The sequence below is a fragment of the Homo sapiens genome, chromosome 1, assembly GCF_000001405.40.
Source record: "Homo sapiens chromosome 1, GRCh38.p14 Primary Assembly".
In the NCBI taxonomy this organism is placed as follows: domain Eukaryota; kingdom Metazoa; phylum Chordata; class Mammalia; order Primates; family Hominidae; genus Homo; species Homo sapiens.
In genome coordinates this window covers 16,732,385-16,753,066 of record NC_000001.11, presented here as the reverse complement: position 1 = coordinate 16,753,066, position 20,682 = coordinate 16,732,385, and the positions used below count along the sequence as shown (strand labels likewise).

At 45.3% G+C, this 20,682-nt stretch overlaps 1 long non-coding RNA gene, 1 other non-coding gene and 1 pseudogene across 2 annotated transcripts, besides 5 other annotated features; 1 reads left to right on the top strand and 2 right to left on the bottom strand.

Moving 5' to 3' along the window:
* CROCCP4 (CROCC pseudogene 4) lies at window positions 2,103-2,832 on the bottom strand (annotated as a pseudogene).
* Window positions 2,524-3,355: an enhancer, noted in NCBI's record as "H3K27ac-H3K4me1 hESC enhancer chr1:17076207-17077038 (GRCh37/hg19 assembly coordinates)". NCBI's record gives its function as "activates a minimal SCP1, AML or CMV promoter by ChIP-STARR-seq in naive H9 embryonic stem cells {active_cell/tissue: H9 hESC(naive)}" and the evidence as "EXISTENCE:reporter gene assay evidence [ECO:0000049][PMID:30033119]".
* Window positions 4,076-4,576: an enhancer, noted in NCBI's record as "H3K27ac-H3K4me1 hESC enhancer chr1:17074986-17075486 (GRCh37/hg19 assembly coordinates)". NCBI's record gives its function as "activates a minimal SCP1, AML or CMV promoter by ChIP-STARR-seq in primed H9 embryonic stem cells {active_cell/tissue: H9 hESC(primed)}" and the evidence as "EXISTENCE:reporter gene assay evidence [ECO:0000049][PMID:30033119]".
* Window positions 10,824-11,324: an enhancer, noted in NCBI's record as "H3K4me1 hESC enhancer chr1:17068238-17068738 (GRCh37/hg19 assembly coordinates)". NCBI's record gives its function as "activates a minimal SCP1, AML or CMV promoter by ChIP-STARR-seq in naive H9 embryonic stem cells {active_cell/tissue: H9 hESC(naive)}" and the evidence as "EXISTENCE:reporter gene assay evidence [ECO:0000049][PMID:30033119]".
* Window positions 12,276-13,197: an enhancer, noted in NCBI's record as "OCT4-NANOG-H3K27ac-H3K4me1 hESC enhancer chr1:17066365-17067286 (GRCh37/hg19 assembly coordinates)". NCBI's record gives its function as "activates a minimal SCP1, AML or CMV promoter by ChIP-STARR-seq in naive H9 embryonic stem cells {active_cell/tissue: H9 hESC(naive)}" and the evidence as "EXISTENCE:reporter gene assay evidence [ECO:0000049][PMID:30033119]".
* Window positions 12,388-12,551, bottom strand: RNU1-4 (RNA, U1 small nuclear 4). The gene has a single exon (NR_004421.1). It is a non-coding gene; the product is annotated as an RNA, U1 small nuclear 4 (small nuclear RNA).
* On the top strand, window positions 12,582-15,717 carry LOC124903859 (uncharacterized). The gene is made up of 2 exons (XR_007065503.1): window positions 12,582-14,577; window positions 15,267-15,717. It is a non-coding gene; the product is annotated as an uncharacterized LOC124903859 (long non-coding RNA).
* Window positions 14,095-14,595: an enhancer, noted in NCBI's record as "H3K27ac hESC enhancer chr1:17064967-17065467 (GRCh37/hg19 assembly coordinates)". NCBI's record gives its function as "activates a minimal SCP1, AML or CMV promoter by ChIP-STARR-seq in primed H9 embryonic stem cells {active_cell/tissue: H9 hESC(primed)}" and the evidence as "EXISTENCE:reporter gene assay evidence [ECO:0000049][PMID:30033119]".
* Window positions 15,718-20,682: the final 4,965 nt, after the last annotated feature.

Below are 20,682 nucleotides of genomic sequence, written 5' to 3'. Positions count from 1 at the left end.
TTGATTGTGCACCTTTAGACAACTTATCAGTTTCCTCATTTTTATACAGCAATAAAATAGTAACAGCTACCCATTAAATTCTGTACAGAAGCTAGGGACAGACGCAATAACACTTGCATATCTATAAAGGCTTTGTAAATGTGGGTATTATATCTAATGTTTATGCACATGCTGTTTGATTATTTTCATTTGGAATTCCACTCCATTAAAGGAAAAGTAACATACGAATTCAGATTCTTGTAAGTCTTCAGGGATGAGGCCTCCATTGACTAAGTACATTGCCTACATAATTTCTCCTAACCCAAATGAATCTCCAGTTAAACCAAGCTGGTGGTTATGTACTGTCTCCAGAGGATGCCAAGCATAAAGTCCTTGAGTATATTCATCTTGGATCCTCTGATTGGACAACTGCGGTATTGAGACTTCAAGTTCCCCCTTGAAGGACCCAGACGGTACCTGTAATTTTACTCAAGTTTTAAATGTATGCTCTTTGTTAAGAAAGAGTGACAATGATTTGATTTATTTTCCGTGACTGGGGTTAGGGATGGGGGAGACTCTAGGAATGTGACTTACCAGTGAGGTTCTAGTTTTATAAATCATAGGACAAGTTTTGATAGGCAAATGTTGGACTATAGGGCTGAGGTTGTTTTCCACCACAACATATAGACTTCTACTAGCCCTTGAAGGAAAAAACACGAGAAAATCAGTTGGGTCAGCTGAGTATTCCTTTATGAGTATGGAACAGACTTACATAACAATTCTGCAGGTAATGGCTCTGGAAAGGTCAACCACTTAGTTTTGGACAACTCTTTTCTATTCTGTATAACCACTTTTTCACCAAAATGATACTAAATAAATATGCTATAGGAAGCTATATTTTGACATGACTGTTTTAGGCAAAGATACACTCACCAACTTACTCCACAAGAGTTTCTAATCAGAGAATATCATATGGATCTATTTGAATTGCTCCCATGCTTGGCTGAGCCCAAAATAATTTACTGTGCATATGTACACCAAGTGAGAAGGTTGAGGAGGTGTCACTTGTACATCTCTTTATTCTTTTTTTTTTGTATGTGTGTGTTATTTTCATGTGTTTTGAAAGGCTCTCTTGCTTAGCTTTTATTTTGCCATTAAAGATTTTTTTCTGTGCTATAACTGTATTTTTAAGTCTGGTTTGAGTTCAAGAAATCCACAAATTCACAAAAGATTAGGAATAATTTGTGAACAAAATGATGCAGAAATAAAAAATGCATTTTCCAAATAACTCCCTTGCAGTCCTTCTCGCCCAACTACCACTTTCTATTAAGTTTCTTCTTCCTACTCTATGAAGTGCCATGAGCTTTCAATTCATTGTATTTTAAGTATAAGCTATACTTACTAACCTTCACGTTATTCTTTGCTACTTAAATAAGCTTGCTTTCATAGTTCAATTGACGTATTGTTTAACTGATATTTTTAATTGGTATATTTTGATATATATTGATAATTGATAGATACATAATTCATTTGAGATATTTTGGGTATGGAGGGTTGGAAGGAATCCTTTCATAATTTTTCTACTTAAAAGAAATCTTTTTTCATTTAACAGCTTTTCCCATGGGGATAGAGTTTTCATGAATAAAGCAAAGTCATTAAATGAGGTATATGGTACATCTTTTAAGAGTCACAGAAAGAAGCAACAACAATTTACCCAGGCAGAGGGTATAAGTTTAGACCTTGGTTGCCTGATTTGTGGGACAAGTTCTTTAATTTTTTTTCTTTATATTTTGACTTTTTTTTGGACTCTCTCCTCCCCTTCCAGGCTCCAGGTCAAATACTTGACACCTGAATGATGTTCAATGATTTAAAAGATGGATTGGCCAGCTCAGCTCCTGTCTCAGACAGACTGTCTTTAAATGTATTTTCAACATGTCTTCAGACAGTTATTTTTCCTCTGTTCAATTTTGTTCATCTTCTTACTTAACCGTTCAAGTGCTCCTATTTCCTTTTTAAATGTAGTATTGAGAAGTGCAAACATTATTGGAAAAGAGAGTCTCACTAGCATAATTGTGCATTATCTTCCTCTTATATCGCCGGCCTCCCTGCACCCCCATGCCCACCTCCTCCTCGCGCCTCCATGCCGCCTCCCACTGCTCCAGCTCCTTGCAGCTGCGAGTCCAGTCACTGGTCACCTTTCGTATCTCCTCACTCAGAGCCTGGTTGGCCAAACCTGCCTGGTCCAGCTGTTCTCAGAGCATGGCATTCACCTGGGCCAGGCTGGCACTCCTGAATGGGGCACAGGGGATCAGTAGGCGCTCGCCCAGGGGGCCATGCTGCCAGCCCTGGCCCTCCCTGCTGCTCCTCCTCCAGCCAGATGAGGGCACTCTCCAGGTCTTGGCTGTGCTCTGCGTCCTGGGTGGCAGAGAGGTTAAAGCATCAGGCTGGGCAGGTGGAGGGCAGGGCCTGCCTCTGCCCCACCCTGGCACCCACCCTCAGCTGCTGCTGCTCCAGCTCTCCGGATCTCTCCAACAGCTGCTCCAGCTCCGAGAACCTCTTCTTGTACTGGAGAATCTGGGGATTGGGAGCTGATGGTGAGCCCCAGGGGTGGGGGCAGGGCAAAGTGAACACGTGGGAGGGAAAGAGCAGGAATGGGTGGCCCTGACCTTGCCCTGCAGCCGCTGCACAAGCTGGGCCTGCCGCTGCTGGCCCTCCAGGTAGGCCTGCAGCTTGCGCCACTAGGAGGCCTGCTCCTCCTGCAGCTGCCTCCGCAACTCCACGCTCTGGAGTACCAGCCCCCTGGGCTCTTGCGTCTCCAGCTCACCAGATTGCAGCCACAGAGCCTGCTCCAGCTGCAGGGAAGGGCCCTGGGTGAGAGTCCTGGGCCTCCTGGGAAGGCAGGCTCAGGCCTCTGTAGGGGGTGGCAGGCTGGGCCCAGACCCACAATGCCTTGTAGGCTGATAGCCTGGCGCCCTGGGGAGCAGCACATGTGGGCAAGCCCAGGGGCAGTGCACGTGTGCATGGGGTGATGCAGCCATGCACGGGCACGCAGATGGGGCATGCATGGACACATGCAGGTGAGCCCACAAACCCAAACCATGCAAGCAAAGCTCAAAGGTGCACCTGGGGTCTACGTCAGGGGCCTCAGTACACCATGCGCCTCTCCTCCAGAACACTTAGCCCTGTCGTGGTTTCTGTTTATTACATTGATGCCTGTGTCTTCCCACCATGCCCCCACCCCAGTGTGAGCTCAGAAAGCCTGGATTTTTTGTTCCTCATTGTATCTTAGTGCTATAATGGTGTCTGTGGAATGGCATGGCTCACGCTCAGTAAATATTTCTTGTGATGGTGAATTAATGGCATGAGCTCATGGGAATACATTCAAACAGAGGTGTCAATCCGCCTATGCATATCTGAGCTTAAAAATATGCACACACATAACACATACAGGCAACCTCAAACATCCCCAGGGGGACACGAAGGACTCCCCTCATATACACAGCATTAAGATTTGTAAGAGGTGCACACAGATGTTGCCCTATACGGCGCCTGCATATTAATGCCCACTTCTGGCTGGGTGCAGTGGCTCATGCCTGTAATCCCAGCACTTCGGGAGGTCAAGGCGGGTGGATCACTTGAAGTCAGGGGTTCGAGACCAGCCTGGCCAACGTGATGAAATCCCGTCTCTACTAAAAATCGAAAAATTAGCCGGGTGTGGTGGCATGCACCTGTAATCCCAGTTACTCAGGAGGCTGAGGCAGGAGAATCACTTGAACCTGGGAGGCAGAGGTTGAAGTGAGCCGAGATCGCACCACTGCACTCCACCCTGGGCGACAGAGCAAGACTCCATCTTTTATTTATTTATTTATTTATGTATTCATTTATTTGTCTCATGGGCTGAGCGAGGGGACCCCGGCTGGTGGAGGGACAGCTGCGCCCTGCAGGCCGCTGCGTCCGGGCAGACCCCGGCCTCTTGTCGTGCCCCCGGCCCGCGACAACCCGGGCAGGATGGGCAGCAGGACGCGGCGGGGCATCCGCGGAGCCCGTCGGGAACGCTCTCTTGGCCTCCAGTGCCGGGCAGCGGTGGGTGCGGCACCCACAGTGCCCACAGCGCCCCCAGCCCTGGGACGTGGCTCCAGCCCGCCCCCAGGCAGGCGGCCTCCTTCGCCGGGAGCACGTCGCCTGGGCAACATGGAGAAACTTCAACTCTTAAAAAAACAAGACAGCCACCACAACAACAAAAACAAGAACAGATATAAGCCGGCTGTGGTGACTCGTGCCTCTGCTACTCCAGAGGCTGAGGTGGGAGGATCGATTCAACCAAGATACAGTGAGACTGTCTCTCAGAGAAAAAGTCAAACAAACAAAAAAAGAGGCTGTGTAAGAGGTGACTCTGGGGACAGTGGAAAAACACTAAGGTTTTCAAGTGGTGTTAAAAGCCACTAGGCCTTGGGGACCATTGAGCAATCTACAAAGCACGGAAGCCTAGATCCCTGAGCTCTGCCTGCCAAGTACCACCACAGCTAACATGGGAGACCTCCCCCACAGAGACTGAAATTTGCCTCCCGAGGAAACAAGTGACTACAGACATCTGTCCCAGGACAGTAAACAAGAAAGCAAGGTCTCACAAAAACAAAAACAGCTGACCACAGCATACAATCACTGAGACCGAGCCTGCGACTATAGGTGAAAAAAAAAAATGCTGTCCATTATTCATACCATGAAAGACCAGGGGAAAGTGGGAACGCAGTCCCCTACTACTGTTGTGGGAATCAGGAGAACAGAGAGACCAATGGGTGGAACAGGAGGATTTATTGACTGCACTGAGGCCCAGCAGATGAAAATCCAAAGGCTGAGCCCCGAACAAAGACAGGGCTTAACTTTATAGACACTTCTGAAAGGGGGTCGGCTAGTTTGAATGGCGCGGCGGGAATTTGATGGCATGAAACTCGGGGGCAGGCAAGAGGGCTTATAGAAGCAGAACAAAGGCAGCTAATCAAACTGTCACAGGTCTTGCAATGCAAGTATAGCTGGTGACCTTGCAGCTGCACTGAAGGGAAATCAAGAACTTAACAAAACTTGAATAATTAGAAATGGGAAGGGGGAAAGAGAAGGTAGTAAAGGCATTTGTTGTTTTTTCCTCTTATCTTTGTTGGGGCTTACTGTGTTGAGAGAGTCTCCGGAACTCACTCCTCGCGGCTCTGACTTTTCAGATCGTGTTACCGAGGATCTGCTAGGGCTCTATCTATGGCAGGTCTTGGAGTCAGCCAAGTACAGGGAACCTGTCTTTTCCTTTTAACTTCTGCCTTATTACTACAAGTTGTACAGCACACCATGCCTGGTTTTCATCAGCAATGTTTCCTGAGGTTACAGAAAGATTTCTAATCCTGGGAGGAAACACTCCCTTGAAGCAAAAGTGTTCTCCCCCAAAAAATGCAAGGAGCTATCTTCTAGATAGCCAGGCAGATAATTCTCAGGTTTTGCCCCACAGAATCTCTATCTAAAATACAGCAGTGGTCATGCCTAGTGAAAAGTTTGAGGGAACTCGCCCAGTGTTGGGTTTCTTCAGAGCCATATATATAGATATAACCAAATATCCTAAAAGACACTGCCCTTCATCATTCCATGCTGTTAGACATTTACAGGACCATGGATGGTGATCTCCTCCAGACAAAAATAAATGCTGGTGCAGAATAGGTAAGTGTATTATAATTTGAGGACATCAGCTTTTGGGCATTTTAAACCATGGGTCAGACATGTTAGAGCAAGAGGCCAGGTTGATAGCAAGAGGGAGTGTTTTTCTTTTAATTTGTCAATAGCAAAGTGATGTTTGCCACTGTGATTTCAGAGTGAGGTGGCAATTTGTTGTTGTTTGGTTTTGTGGGTTTTTGTTTGTTTGTTTGTTTGTTTGTTTTTGAGACAAGGTCTCACTGTCACCCAGGCTGGAGTGCAGTGGCATGATCAGGGTTTACTCCTGCCTTGACCTCATGAATTCAAGCAAACCTCCTTACTAATCCTCCCGAGTAGCTGGGATTACAGGCACGTGACCCCACACCCTGGGGTGTGAACTGGGATTTGATGTTTTCAGTTGGCTCTCTAATGGAATAGGTTCCCTTACTCTTGTAGAATCAGATTGTCTTCATGATTATCATTCTTGTGTGCATTATATTTCTACTACCCTGCTATTTTTTTTTCTATTTTTCTTTTTTCTTTTTATTTTTTTCTTTGTGAGACAGAGTCTCGCTCTGTCTCCCAGGCTGTATTGCAGTAGCAGGATCTCAGCTCACTGCAACCTCCACCTCCTGGGTTCAAGCAATTCTTTTGCTTCAGCCTCCTGAGTAGCCACCTGGCTAATTTTTGTATTTTTAGTGGAGACAGGGTTTCACCATGTTGGCAGGCTGGTCTCAATCTCCTGACCTCAAGTGATTCACCCGCCTCAGCCTCCCAAAGTGCTGGGATTACAGGCATGAACTACCACACCTGGCTCTCAAACCATTTTAGTTAAGCAAAGACAGATTTGTCTGGCTTTTTAGTACAATGCTGAATTATCCTCCAATCTATATTTTTAGGAAGGACCTGGGGAATGGCAACTTGGAGATATTTGGTGAAAATGTGAACCTTTCATGTTCTGCTTCAGTCCCTTTTTGAAAATCCTTCCAATTTACCTTTTGCAACCAGTTAGTGGCCTTCCCTTCTTCACCAGCATGTGAGTTAATTGATAAAGATCAGAATATTTGGGCTCAAAGGTTTCAACAGTTAAGTCAAATTTTCTGCCAAAGCCTACAGGATCTTGGAGCCTGCTTTAGAAACAGAAGAGTGAAATGTATTTAAGTTTAGATCAGGGAAGTCCTTTATAATATTCTTAATTCACGTTTTGGTGAAGTGGTATACACAACGGTAGGCTCCCCTCTTCCTGTGGGTTTGGGTTTTACCTTGAAAGGGGCTGTCAGAACAGAAGTTTCAGGGAAGGGACCAGATCCCTGGGGACTTTCCTTAGGTGATGGTGATGGAAGAAGAGGCAAGGCAGGACAGGAAGGCTCAGGTAAGAAAGACTATGCAGGTGCAGGGGCAGGAGGAGAAGGAGCAGTTGGAGGTGAAAGAGACAAAGCCTCCTCAATATTTCTCAAATCAGAAAACATGACAGTCTACCTCCTTCAGCTTACTTCCTCAATGGAGGCAATTTTCTCAGTTCTTTTAGAAATTTTAGAAATTTAGACATTTCTAGGTCTCATTGGAATTAAGTCTCCTATTTAATTTGTCTGGTTCAAAAACCAAATTTCTCTCTCTCTCTCTGTTTTTTTTTTTTTTTTTTTTTTGAGACAGGGTCACCCAGACTGGAGTGCAGTGGTGTGATCTCGGCTTACTGCACTCACCACTTGCTGCATGACAGCCAATAAGTCGAGAGTTGAGGTGTAGGGGCAGGGAAGGTGACTTTATTCCAGAGAGCCACCAAACTGAACAGATGGTGAAGTAACATCCTGAAGAACCATCTTAAATTAATACTATTTTCCGGCTCCTTGTACATTAGGGAAGGGAGGAAGAAGGAGGCGATTGAGGTGAAGAGGTCTGACAATGACAGACATGGGCTGCAGTGAGAGCCCAAGGGGATGGTGAAAATTGTTGGTCCTTTGTCAGGTCACACTTCTCTTATAAATCTTCAGCATAACACTGTTACTTGTGTATACAACCTCTCTATCTTCTCAGGAGTTAGTTTGGGGAAGGGATTATTATCATCTGTGCTTTAAAGTTAAACTGTAAGCTAAATCCCTCCCATAGATAGCTTGGCCTATGTGCAGAAATAAGAAAAAGCAGTTAGCCTGGAAGATGTCACCACACGGTAGGAAGGGTTAGGAGCAAAATGCAGTCAGTCATGCTAGGCCTCCTTTTCATTGCCATATATTTAATGTATTTGAACACGTAATTTTAATTTTTTATACTTTATTTTTATTTATTTATGATTTTTTTGAGACAGAGTCTCACTCTGTTGCCCCCCCAGGCTGGAGTGCAATGGCGTGATCTTGGCTCACTGCGACCTCTGCCTCCTGAGTTCAAGCAATTCTCCTGCCTCAGCCTTCTGAGTAGCTGGGATTACAGGAGCCCCCCACCATGCCCGGCTAATTTTTGTATTTTTAGTAGAGACAGGGTTTCACCATGTTGGCCAGGCTGGTCTCAAACTCCTGACCTCGGGCTCCCAAAGTGCTTGGACTACAGGCATGAGCCACCATGCCCAGCCTAACCAAGATTATTAAACCATTCTAATTTGTCAAAAGAGTCACACTGATTTTTAAAAAATAATGTAATGGGCCAGGTGCAGTGGCCTATGCCTGTAACCCCAGCGCTTTGGGAAGCCATAGCAGGAGGATCATGAGGTCAGGAGTTCAAGACAGCCTGACCAACATGGTGAAACCCCGTGTCTACTAAAAATACAAAAATTAGCCAAGTGTGGTGGTGTGTGCCTGTAATCCCAGCTACTCAGGAGGCTGAGACAGGAGAATTGCTTGAACCCGGGAAGCAGTGGTTGCAGTGAGCCGAGATTGCACCACTGCACTCTAGCTTAGGCGACAGAGTGAGACTACATCTCAAAATAAATAAATAAATAAATAAATATAATAATAATGTAATGAACTTTTTCATGTCTTTATATAAAAAATATTACATTATTTAAATTGTTCAAAAGCATCAAAGATTCCTCTCTGCTATCAACTTCATTTATTTTATTGTACCAAACTACCAGGACCATTAATTTAATCTACAGCTAAATCTATTATTTTTTCATGTTAGAAATTCAACAAGAAAATTTTTCCCTAATGAAACCTCACATTTCAAGCATAAGGAGCCTGGGCGAGTTGGCTCACACCTGTAATCCCAGCACTTTGGGAGGCCGAGACAGGTGTATCACTTGAGGTCAGGAGTTTGAGACTAGCCTGGCAAACATGATGAAACCCTGTCTCTACTAAACATATAAAAATTAGCTGGGCGTGGTGGCGTGTGCCTATAATCCCAGCTACTCTGGAGGCTGAGGCAGGGAAATAGCTTCAACCTGGGAGGCAGAGCTTGCAGTGAGCTGAGATGGCACCACTGCACTCTAGCCTGGGCTACAGAGCAAGACTCTGTCTCAAAAATAAATAAATAGATAAATAAGCATAAGTAGTAAAAAAATAACATAAATTTAAAAATAAGGCACAGGGTCTTGCTCTGTTATCCAGGCTAGAGTGCAGTGGGGCAATCATAGCTGACCAACTTGGAACTTCTGGGCTCAGGCAATCCTCCTGGCTCAGCTTGCCTTGTATTTTTTTAGAGATGATGTCATGCCCTGTTCCCCAGGCTGGTCTCCAACTGCTGGCCTAAAGCAATCCTTCCGCCTCAGCCTGTTGAGTTGCTGGGAGTACAGGTGCAAGACATGCAGCCTAGCATTGTAGTAAAACAATTTTCAACAAATTCTTAATTTTCTTTCCTTTTTTTTTTTTTTGAGTTGGGAGTCTCATTCTGTCACTCAGGCTGGAGGGCAGTGGCACAATCATAGTTCACTGCAGCCTGAGATTACAGTCATGCATTATCATGCCCGGCCAACTTTAAAAAATTAGCTAATACTTAAAAATTTGTAGAGACAGGGGTTTCACTGTGTTGCCCAGGCTGGTCTCCAACTCTTAAAGTGCTGGGACTGTAGCTATGAGCCACCATACCTGGCTTAATTTTCTTATTTTAATTTTATATAAGTGATTATTATTGTTCCTAAGATAATTGGGGCAGTGACTCCTTTACAATTGTAGAGATCTAATTTGTCTATTCACTTCACTGAAAGAGTATGCCAATTTGTTTCATGAGAAAATATCCTATATTTGAAAAGAAGGAAAATTCCTTCCACCAAACTAGGGTGCATGCTAAAGAAACGAATTGTTCTAAGTAACATCACTTAAAGTGCAAACAGAGGCAATGGTATCTATTAACAATGTTTATCAGTGAAGGAAATAAACTGAAAATATGAACATCATTAGATCCTCGGAGGGCCTTCATTGCTGAAAATCTGAGTAATATTGTGATACTCTTTTGAGTCTGGCAGGACATTCTCTTTCCAGGGCATGTAACAGTGGGTGAATAATTTCTTTTCATTCATTTCCATTAAGGGCTGAACTTCCTTAATGTTCTGGAGATTATTAAATTTGATTTGTATAGTTGTGAAAAGTACTCATATTGCTGATTCCATTGCTTATATGTGATCATATAAATCTTTTCTCTTTCTGTAGTGTGGTTTAAACTTAATCCTTAAAGGGCATGTATTTGAATTTTTCAGCTGGTTAGAAACCTGAATATACCAATCAAATAAAACTGCTCCTTACATGCTACAGATTTAGTTTTCTTCCTGTACTAAGATGTCTTTTAGATACAGTAAATTCGTTAAAGCCAAGAGCCCCTAGGAAATGAAGTTGGGTGGGAGGGGGGACATCGAGTAGTAAGATCACTCTTGTAACAGAGATGCCACTCTTGCAGATATTGACAAAAATTGGGCCTATAAAATGTTTACCAAACATTGGAAAGACAAGATCTGAACAACTTATCATTGCTGCAGTCTCAAATATCAGGAAATGCCATTATTCTCAGGACAATAAATAGACAATAAAGAAGACTCACAGACCAGATTAGCTGTCATGTATCACCAAACAGGGACTGGATCCTTGTTAACACGACCCAACAGAGATTGTCCCCAGAAATTCACTTCATAACCTCAAAACCAAAAACCCACACTGATGGCAAAAAATAATGATGCAAAGAATGAGAGAGAAAGAGAGAGAGAGAGAGAGAGAGAGAGAGAGAGAGAGACCTGTCCTATAGCCATACTCAGTGGGTAAAAGCCAAAGAGCTCAATTTCTGCTCATGATACTTAATAGAACATAGGGAACATGAGCCAATAGCTCAATGGGTTCAGATCTGCACCAAGTGCCTGTTGGACGCAGGATTCTACTGTCTCCAATAATATGTCTCAGATGCACTAATTTTTTTTCTCTTTTTGAGACAGAGTCTTACTCTGTTGCCCAGGCTGCGGTGCAATGGCGCGATCTCGGCTCACAGTAACCTCCACCTCCCGGGTTCAAGCGATTCTCCTGCCTCAGCCTCCCGAGTAGTTGGGATTACAGACACACACCACTGCGCCCGGCAATTATTATTATTATCATTATTATTATTATTGTGCGTGTGTATGTGTTTTTAGTAGAGACGGAGTTTTGCCATGTTGGTCAGGCTGGTCTTGAACTCCTGACCTCAGCTGATCAAAAGTAGGTGAGGTCAGAAAACATACCCTGGGAGAGGCTGGCACAATGCCCAGAACCGCTATCGCTAGGCCTGGGGTTTTCCTCTGTAGTGGAATACTAGTGTTCATGTAGTGCAGGGACAAAACCAATTAGATAGTTCTGGGAGTTAAAAAGAGATGATTTACAGTGCCATTTGAGAAGGGGTATTAAGGAATTTGCCAGGGCACTGATGCGTGTCAGGTGTAAACCTCAGGTTGAGAGAGAGCTAAGTATTTTCTGTCCATGAAGGTGATAAGCGAGGGCCTGAAGAAAGAGGGACTGGGGAGGACACTGGCACCAGAAATAGGAAAGGGCTTCTTGGGGGTGGGAAGGATGGGTCACGGTGCTATCTATAAAGTTGGCTGGCAGTGGATGTAGGATGTGGGAGTGAGACATCAAACATGAAGCAGTCGCTTAAAGTCTAAAGAAACACTAGATATATGAACTGCAGGAGATAGTAGGGAAACTGGACCGGCTCCTCATAAAACTTCCCGCCTTCTATCTCCGGGAGGATCGCAGGGCATTTCCGCCAAGACAGGTGAGACTGCGGTTCTGACCTGCGGGCCTCCATGCATATGCGCTAGGGCACCTGGGGGCCGGCAGAGCCGTTCCCCTACGCAAAGTAAGAGTGTTATGTCTACAACCCAACGGGGACACTGAGAGCCCCAAAGGCCCTGCTTTCTTCCCAGAGAACAGCGCCCATCTGCATAATTTCTACCTGGCTCTATGAGGTGAGAACACACTCCCCGCTAGCACAGAAATCCTACAAACTCCTGTGGGGGCTGCGCTTGGAAGCAGAGGCTGTGTAAGAGGTGACTTGGGGGGTAGGGAAAAACACGAAGATTTTCACACAGGGTGAGAACCCAAGAGACTGGAGACCACGGACCAATCCCTGCAAAAAGCAGCCAGGGTAGAAATGGAAGAGCTGAGCGGACTTCACGATAGCTAATTTGTGTTACAAAGCCGATACGGCTGATGCTCGCTTTTTCTCCTATGGCGTGCAGGCCACATGTTACTTCTTATTCCCCAGGCCTCCACTGTAGGATTAACAACTAAGACACAAACCAATACGAAAAAAGACATGACCCTTGGCGTACGGTCTGTTTTTGAAACTCCAGAAAGTCAGGGGAAAGCGCGAACGCAGTCCCCCACTACCACAAATTATGCAGTCGAGTTTCCCACATTTGGGGAAATCGCAGGGGTCAGCACATCCGGAGTGCAATGGATAAGCCTCGCCCTGGGAAAACCACCTTCGTGATCATGGTATCTCCCCTGCCAGGTAAGTATGAGATCTTCGGGCTCTGCCCCGACACAGCCTCATACGCCTCACTCTTTACACACACGGTCACTTGCCCCGCGCACTCCCGAGCCCTTTCCAGCCCTGACACACAGCTGGGATTCTCACTTCCGATCCGCGGTCCTGAACCCGCTCCCAGGGCACGGGAACTCCTTCGTGGCGAAGCAGCAAGTGGCGAAGCAGCAGCCTCTGCGCTGCCTCATCTACATAGAAGTCGCCCTGTCCGTGATGTCACCGACAGTGCCTTGCCCAGTCCCCGTCTGCCTTTCTGCCACTCAACCGACCAATCTGCTGCCAGAGCCGCCAAGGGGAAGTGACGTCTGCCTCTCCCTTTTTCCCTCCCGCCCCTGCGTCTGTTCTCTCCCAAAGAAGCTGGTCCTTAGCCTGTGTTAAGGAGCAACCTTTCGGTGGCCAGATGGAGCCGGGGCATCCTTCTTCAAATAATGGCTTTTAATTCGCAGACTAGAATGTTTCGGATTACAAAAGAAACCGGTTCTCTTCACATCCTTATCCTTGTGATGCAGCATTCCGCTTGCAATTGGAAGCCGTTTAATATCAGAGAGAAACCATATTTATGAAAGTAAAGAGGCTGCTTAGATGACTGCAAACCAGCCGTCCTTACTGGTTTTATCACTGGTAATGTTATAAAGACAGTTGTCCAGTTTCATGAATCTTGTAGGTTTTTTTTTTTTTGATGTTGTTTTTTTTTTCAAAAATCCGTATTGTAGAAAAATATGCTGTCCCAGAAGAGATGATTGGACACTCTCAAGCGTGGTGCTGGACTTTGTCATCTCTTGCACAGCCATCTCCACACCTTAGTGCTTACCTCATGTTAGTTTTTTATATTCTGCAAAGACGAAACCAAAATAATCCAAATTTGACACAAATACCTGGGCTACATCTTATTTGAGATGTTTAACAAATGTCTGGATCATCTTTTCTTATATATTACGCAGGAAACACTGTGAAGTAAGCAAAGTTGGAATGCCCAAGTGAAAGACCATTTGAATATTTACAAGTAGATTTCAGACAGGAATACTACAGGGTGGTCACAGGATAACAAATTCTAGGCAGCAGATTTACATGACTTGAGGCTGTGGGCTGTTAAGACGCTGAAAAACCAGGGTGTGGACCAAGCTGGCTAAGGCTGAGTGGACCCAACGTGGTGCTGGATTGGATGGAGGTTTTACCTAGGCCCTCATTATATGCTCATTAACATACTAAATCACACACCCGCCAGTGCCATGACAGTTCTGAGACCAGTGTTTGATGTAAAAATGGCACCACAGTTCCAAGAAATCTCCACCTTTACCCAGGAATTTTCGTGAATATTCCAATTCTTGGTTAAAGAAACCCATCAAGATGAAACCCCAGAACCCATTATTCTCTCTTGGGTATGCCCAAGCTCCCCTTTCTTGAGTGTGTACTTTTTGCTTTGCAATAAATCTCTTCTTTCACTATCTGCTGACTCATCTTTGACTTTGTTCTCACGATGGTGTCAAGAGCCTGGACACCACGGCTGGGGTCGAGATCCCACCAGTGTCCAGGGACCTCCCCCAGCCCACCAGTATCAGATTCTATTCCATTGCTCAAATCACAAAACATCGAGTGGAGAGTTCTCCTTGGAGATCATAAAGTAAAGATTCTGTGGCATGGTGGCCAGTTAGGCCACTGGAAGCATGGCAAAATATTGAAAATGAGGGATTAGGTGACAGTGTAGTAACTGCTGAATACTAAATACTTGATCCAGGCCCCATTCCCTGGAGATTGACAGGGAGACACATTGTCCAGGTAGTAGTGGAGAAATGTTTTCTGGGTATCTGACCAGCCTTTGTGGAAAGAACTGGCACCATCCTGCAGATGTAACCGCCTGATGGGTTCTTCCTGACCAATGTACACAAAAACTCAATTCATGGAGACCATGGCACTGCAGGAAACGGTTTCATTGACACAGGCCAGCCACGACATGTGGGAGACAGAGTTATTACTCAAAGCAATCTCACTGAAGGCTTGGAGGTAAGGGGTTTTTCAAAGATAGTTTGGTGGGGAGGGGGCTAGGGCTTGCGTGGTGCTGATTGTTGGGGATGAAATCACAGGGGCGTGGAAAATGGCCCTCCTGCATGGAGTCAGCTTCTGGGTGGGGGCTAAGGGACTGGTTGATTTTCGGGCCAGATGGTGCCTTCCAGCAGTCAGAAATGCAAAAGCCTGAAAAGACATCTCAAGAGGCCAATCTTAGGTTCTACAATAGTGATGTTCTTCACAGCAGTAATTGGGGAAGCTGCCAATCTTGTGACTTCTGGAATAATGGCTGGTAATTATTTAACGAGGCATACATCTTAGTAGAAATCAGGCCCCTTTCATCCTTCTAACTTGGTGGCCTTTCATTCATTTTACAGGGGTAATTTAGTTTTGGGGAAGGTTATCATTTAAAGCAGCCTTTTTGGCTGTCCTCAACCTTTTTGTCACCAGGGACTGGTTTCATGGAAGACAATTTTTCCATGGAAGGGGGTGGTGGATGTTTTCCATATGAAACTGTTCCACTTCAGGTCATCAGGCATCAGTTACAGTCTCATAAGGAGTGCGCAATCTGGATCACGCACATGAGCTGTATCACCACTCAGCTCTCACTCCAGCCTCAGGTATCAGCAAGACCTCACCAAAGATTACTGTTTAATTGTCTCTGTGTGTGTTTTTGTTTGTTTCAGGTAACAACTAATGTTGGAATTATGAAAAGCTCTTCTCTACTTTTAACAAAGCTTAGTCACAAACAGTTCCCCAGTTGATGAGAAAAACTAAAACAACAGAACAATTGAAAGTCCGAATCTGCAAGTTCATCTCTGAGAACCGAATTTTACAGCCACTCCAGATTTGTACTCCAAATGGATAGTTTGATTGTAGAAATCACTTCCCTTCAGTCTGCCAATGTGATAACTGCCCAAGAGAAAGTGATGCCTACATTCGTAGATAATCCCCTTTCCCCCATCCTATATATAACTGGAGTCAACAGTAGCTGGAGGAAAATGGCAAGAACTTGGAATCAAGATTAGGTTAGAATAACACTGCTGTAGACAGTTTATCAGCTCTTCAGCATATGTCCATTTTCCTTGAAGGATGAGCCTTTAGAAACCTCTGACAATAAAGTTTATTTTACATCCATTCCCTTGCCTATGATTTTTTCATACAAATCACAATTATAAAACTTTCTTGCTCCAGCTAAAAGCAAGAAACTCAATCATGAATGTGTTCACTAAATATATACCACAGAATGATAGCAACCAGTCTGAATGCATCACTTGATTCCAAAATTAAATGTTAGCCCTCAGTGGTGCAACTACATGTATCTCCAACTCTGGAAGCCACAGGCAACATATTCCTGTTTCCTTGCAGGGAAACAGATCTATAAGCAGGGCGGCAGTCTCACACATGTACATTCCTGGGAAACCCAAGGAAACAATGATAGTGACGCAGGGCAGGCAAGCCCCCAAACTGAAAGAGTTTTGCTAATGTCGCGATTGGCTTTCTATGTTATTTGAAGACTGAGATCTCCATGAGGAATGAAGACAGGTAATGCCTAAGGCTGAGGCATGACCTCACTGGGTCACCTTAGCTGTGAAGTGAGGTCAGTTGTCACCTTGCAAACCTTTTGGTAATCCAAATCTTGGAATGATTTCTTTAAGAATTTAGACACTTCCAGTACTTTTCCTGTCCTTGTGGGGAAAGCTTCTATCCACCTGGTGAAAGTGTCTATAAATACTAGCAAATCTTGTAGTTCCCTGTAAGGTGGCATCTGGGTTAAGTCTGTCTGCCAGTCTTCACCATGGTATGTTCCTTGGTGTTGTACAGGTTTAAGCAGGGATCGGGGTATGGGGTGGCTTCCTGAGTGGTAACCCTTTTTATAGTTTAGAACAGTCCCTTCCCGAAGAATATTTAGGAAACTAATTTGAATGGAAAATCCCGTCCCAAATGTGAGGAATCATGAAAATGTTTAATTATTTCCCATCTGTCAGCCTCAGGAATAGAGTTTGTTCTTTTGTAGCAACCATCCAGAGGGGTCTCCCTGGAAGCCTTTTACTCAGTCCCTTTAATTTCCTTAGGGGTATAGTATGGTGTCACTGACACGGATGCAGTACCTGGTAGTAGCGCAGCAGCTTGAAATACCAGGGTTTCCTTAGTTGTGGCCTTAGCTGCTCTTTCCACCAGGGAATTTCCTCTAATAATAAAAGTGTCTCCCTTCTGGTGTCCCCTGCAGTGAGTAATTGTTATTTCTTTGGGAGTTGGACAGCATCTAAAAGTTCCAAGATCTGAGTAAAGTCGTATGGGGGATCCCTTGGCTCTTGATAGTCCCCTTTCCTTCCCTATGGCTGCATGAGCATGGAGCACCAGGAACCCATATTTAGAGTCAGTCAACACATTGACTCTTGAGGGTTCATCCTCCCCGCAGGCAACTGGAGATGTATTGTCCCCAGAGGGTACAATAGAGAATCTTCCGTCACAAGTCAGCAACCAGCATATGTGAGTGACAGCATGTGTCCCACTCAGAAATGAGAGTGTATTAGTCCGTTTTCATGCTGCTGACAAATACATAACAGAGTCCAGGACCAAAAAGAGGTTTAATTGGACTTACATTTCCATATGACTGGGGAGGCCTCAGAATCATGGCGGGAGGCAAAAGGCACTTCTTACAAGGCAGCAGCAAGAGAAAATGAGGAAGAAGCCAAAGCAGAAACCCCTGAGAAACCCATCAGATAGTGAGACTTACTGGCTATCAGGAGAATAGCACAGGAAAGACCCGCCCCCATGATTCAATTACCTCCTCCTAAGTCCCTCCCACAACACATGGGAATTCTGGGAGATACAATTCAAGTTGAGATTTGGGTGAGGGCACGGCCAAACCATGTCAGAAAGGGATGAAGTGACAGCATATCCTGATGTGTGTGATGGTTTCATGAGTTATTATCTATTTCAAAATTTATTGCAATGTGTGGAAAAGAACAAGGACTTGTACTATCTGACTTTAAGGTTTACTATAAGCTATTAGACACAAGGCATCAAGAGTGACAAACGGATAAACAGCCTGAGTTAGAAAACCTGAAATTGATCCACAGCTATACGGTCAATAAATGGGTTTTCAGTAAAAGCAGTTCAATAAAAGAAAATAAATCATTTCAATTAATGAACTTCTATATGGATGTGGGGAGACCAACAATGTTATTCTCCCTCACGTTACACACAAAAGTAATTTCAGCCGCATTACACACCAAAACTTAAAAGTTAAAGATATAAAGCATTTCAAGGATACTTTGTGACTTGTTGGCAGGCAAAGATTAGCCTACCAACAAGCAGGACACAGAAAAAATACATATATAAGAAAGACATGATAAATGAGACTTCATCAACATTAGCCACACCTTCTCATCAAAAGATACCACTAAGAAAGCGAAAAGGCAAGCAAGCCACAGACAGAGAGAAAATACCCACAAAACGTATCTGACCTCCACATCCTGCAATTATAATTATAGTGGTCTGGTACACTGCACCCAGTTTCTGCTGGATGGAGTATTTTCTGGGTGTCTCTAATGAGTAAGAGAGGGCCCCATGGGATATTCCTTCAGTTCCCAGATGAACAGTGGGAAAGACTCCACATTGACCAACCTCGGGGGCCTGAAAACCCAGGTCCTCAAGGAGGGTAGAGTATACCTGGACCCTGACCCAGACCCCTGGATGGGCTGTGCCAAGAGACCCAGCAAGGGAAGGGATTTCCTCCTGCCTCAGGTTCTCTGTTCTTCTGTGGTTAGACCACCTGAACCCAACTCCCTCCCCAAGCACTAGAGATGGGCTTTTCCAAGGGCTGGGGATCTTGCTGTCCTGAGGACAGCTGAGCAAGGGGGTCGAGGAGGAGCTTGGGTTGTGGAGGAGAGGAAACCGGGTAAGATGCGTGAAGCAGTTGGCTATACCAGGCACAGAGAGGACCCGCTGGGACCCAAGAGCCTGCATGTGAAGCCAGGCCTTGGGCCACCTTGTCTGTCAAGGGGGTGCCTACTTCCATGGTGTCTTCAAAGGGACTGTGGAAAGAGAGGCCTTCAGCCCACACCTCTGAATGCTTTTCCACCACAGCATGCCCTGTGGCCTTTATCCTGCTGGTGTGGAACAGTCAGACCCCTGCAGGGCTGCAGAGCCTCTGTACTGGGCGGCATCCCAGCCTGAGTGCCAGAGCTCAGAGGGCAGGCCCCCGAGCAAGCAGAGAGGAGGGCACCTTTTGGACAGAACGTGTGGGACAAGAGCGATGGCTCATCCGTTCAGGTTCCTCACAAAATGAGAGTCAGGAAGATCAGGGCGCCGGCCTGATTTCCCAGGCAGGGCTGAAAGCAGACAACCGGAGGGAGAGCAGCACCTGGGCCAATGAGGTAGAAGACAGAAGACCACAGTGTACTCCTGCCCTCAACCTCACCCCCTCCCACCCACATCCTCCACACTCCCTGACCACCTTCCTCAGAAGTGTAATAGGAATCCAGATTCCCCCTGGCCTGGTTGCTGCAGGAGGCACAGTAGCCTGATGGAGCCTGAGGCAGGTGTGGGAAGATGTGGATTGTCTAACTGGAGGTTGGGAGTCCAGGGTGTAGAAGCAGCTTGGAGTGCAGGATTTGGTGGTACGTGTGTGGCAGTAGGCAAAAGAAAGAGACAACTGGCCGGGCGCGGTGGCTCACGCCTGTAATCCCAACACTTTGGGAGACCGAGGCGGGCGGATCACGAGGTCAGATGAAGACCACGGTAAAACCTCGTCTCTACTAAAAATACAAAAAAGTAGCCGGGCGTGGTGGCGGGTGCCTGTAGTCCCAGCTACTGGGGAGGCAGAGGCAGGAGAATGGCGTGAACCCGGGAGGCGGAGCTTGCAGTGATCTGAGATCGCGCCACTGCACTCCAGCCACTGCACTCCAGCCTGGGTGACAGAGCAAGACTCTGACTCAAAAAAAAAAAAAGAAAAGAAAAGAAAAGAAAAGAAAAGAAAGAGACAACTGAGCCACTTGAAATACCATGAGAATTCAAATTCAGAAAATTCCCGGGGAACTATGCGTGCAGGCACTCACCAGATCCACAAAACAGCTGCTGCATAACTGCATGTTGCAAGCAAGCCCTAAATTGCTGATTTTGAAACAGCCTGATGGGTTCACAAAGACAATTTCTGAATAGTCGTAAGAGCAGAGGTGCACTAAAGCCACTGTGCCCTGCAGGCCCAGATCCCAGTAAGTTCTTCAAGGAGTAAGTCTTACTTCCATTTATGGAAGATTTTTGGAGTTGTCCTTGGTCACCCCCAGGAATGTTTTGGTTAGGAGTAGAATTTTAGATGTCATCAATTTAAAAATTAAAACTAAAACGCTGGAACTCATAGAGAGATAAAATTAAGAGAATACATTCACTATCCTGAGTAGAAAGATTTCTTATAGAACATAACAGGCTTTAAAAATAAAGAAAAAATATGGCAAAATTTCATCAAATTAAATGCTTTGAGAACTAAAATTAAAATCCAAAGCCACTCAACCAACTGGACAGACTGTTTCTTGGCCAAGGAGACCCCAGAGAAGTCTTAACTACTGAGTTCCTGCCCAGTAGTTGGAATCTCAGACACCTCTCCTTATACTCTCTCCCTTTGTGGTTTAGACACAACTGACCAGCATTATTGTTAAAATAGAGATCCTAAGACTGACAGAACAGACTCCTTGCAGTAGTAAGATATGGTATGATAAACGAGACCTAAGGCCACGCCAGGCAAGGTGGAGTCATGCGCCCCTCAACTTAAAGAATAAACTATGTTCCAATTGCCACAGGTTTTTTTCTTCTTCCTTTTTTTCTCTAGCTAAACAAGCACTGGCCTTGAGATAAGCAATGCTGAAGCACTTGCAGCTCACCCATTACCATAAACTGACTGAGCCCTCCCTACACAAGCCATAACTACAGCTTTGATTGGACAAGAGACTGATTTCAGTAACTTCCCCTTGATAAGAGAGCACTGGCTGTGGACGGGTTCTGGACGGTTTACAGAGGCTGTGCACTTGACTGCCTTTGTGTCCCTGCTTCCCCTTTTGAAGCATAGGGCCTAATTATAATGTATTTAAATGTTGTCTC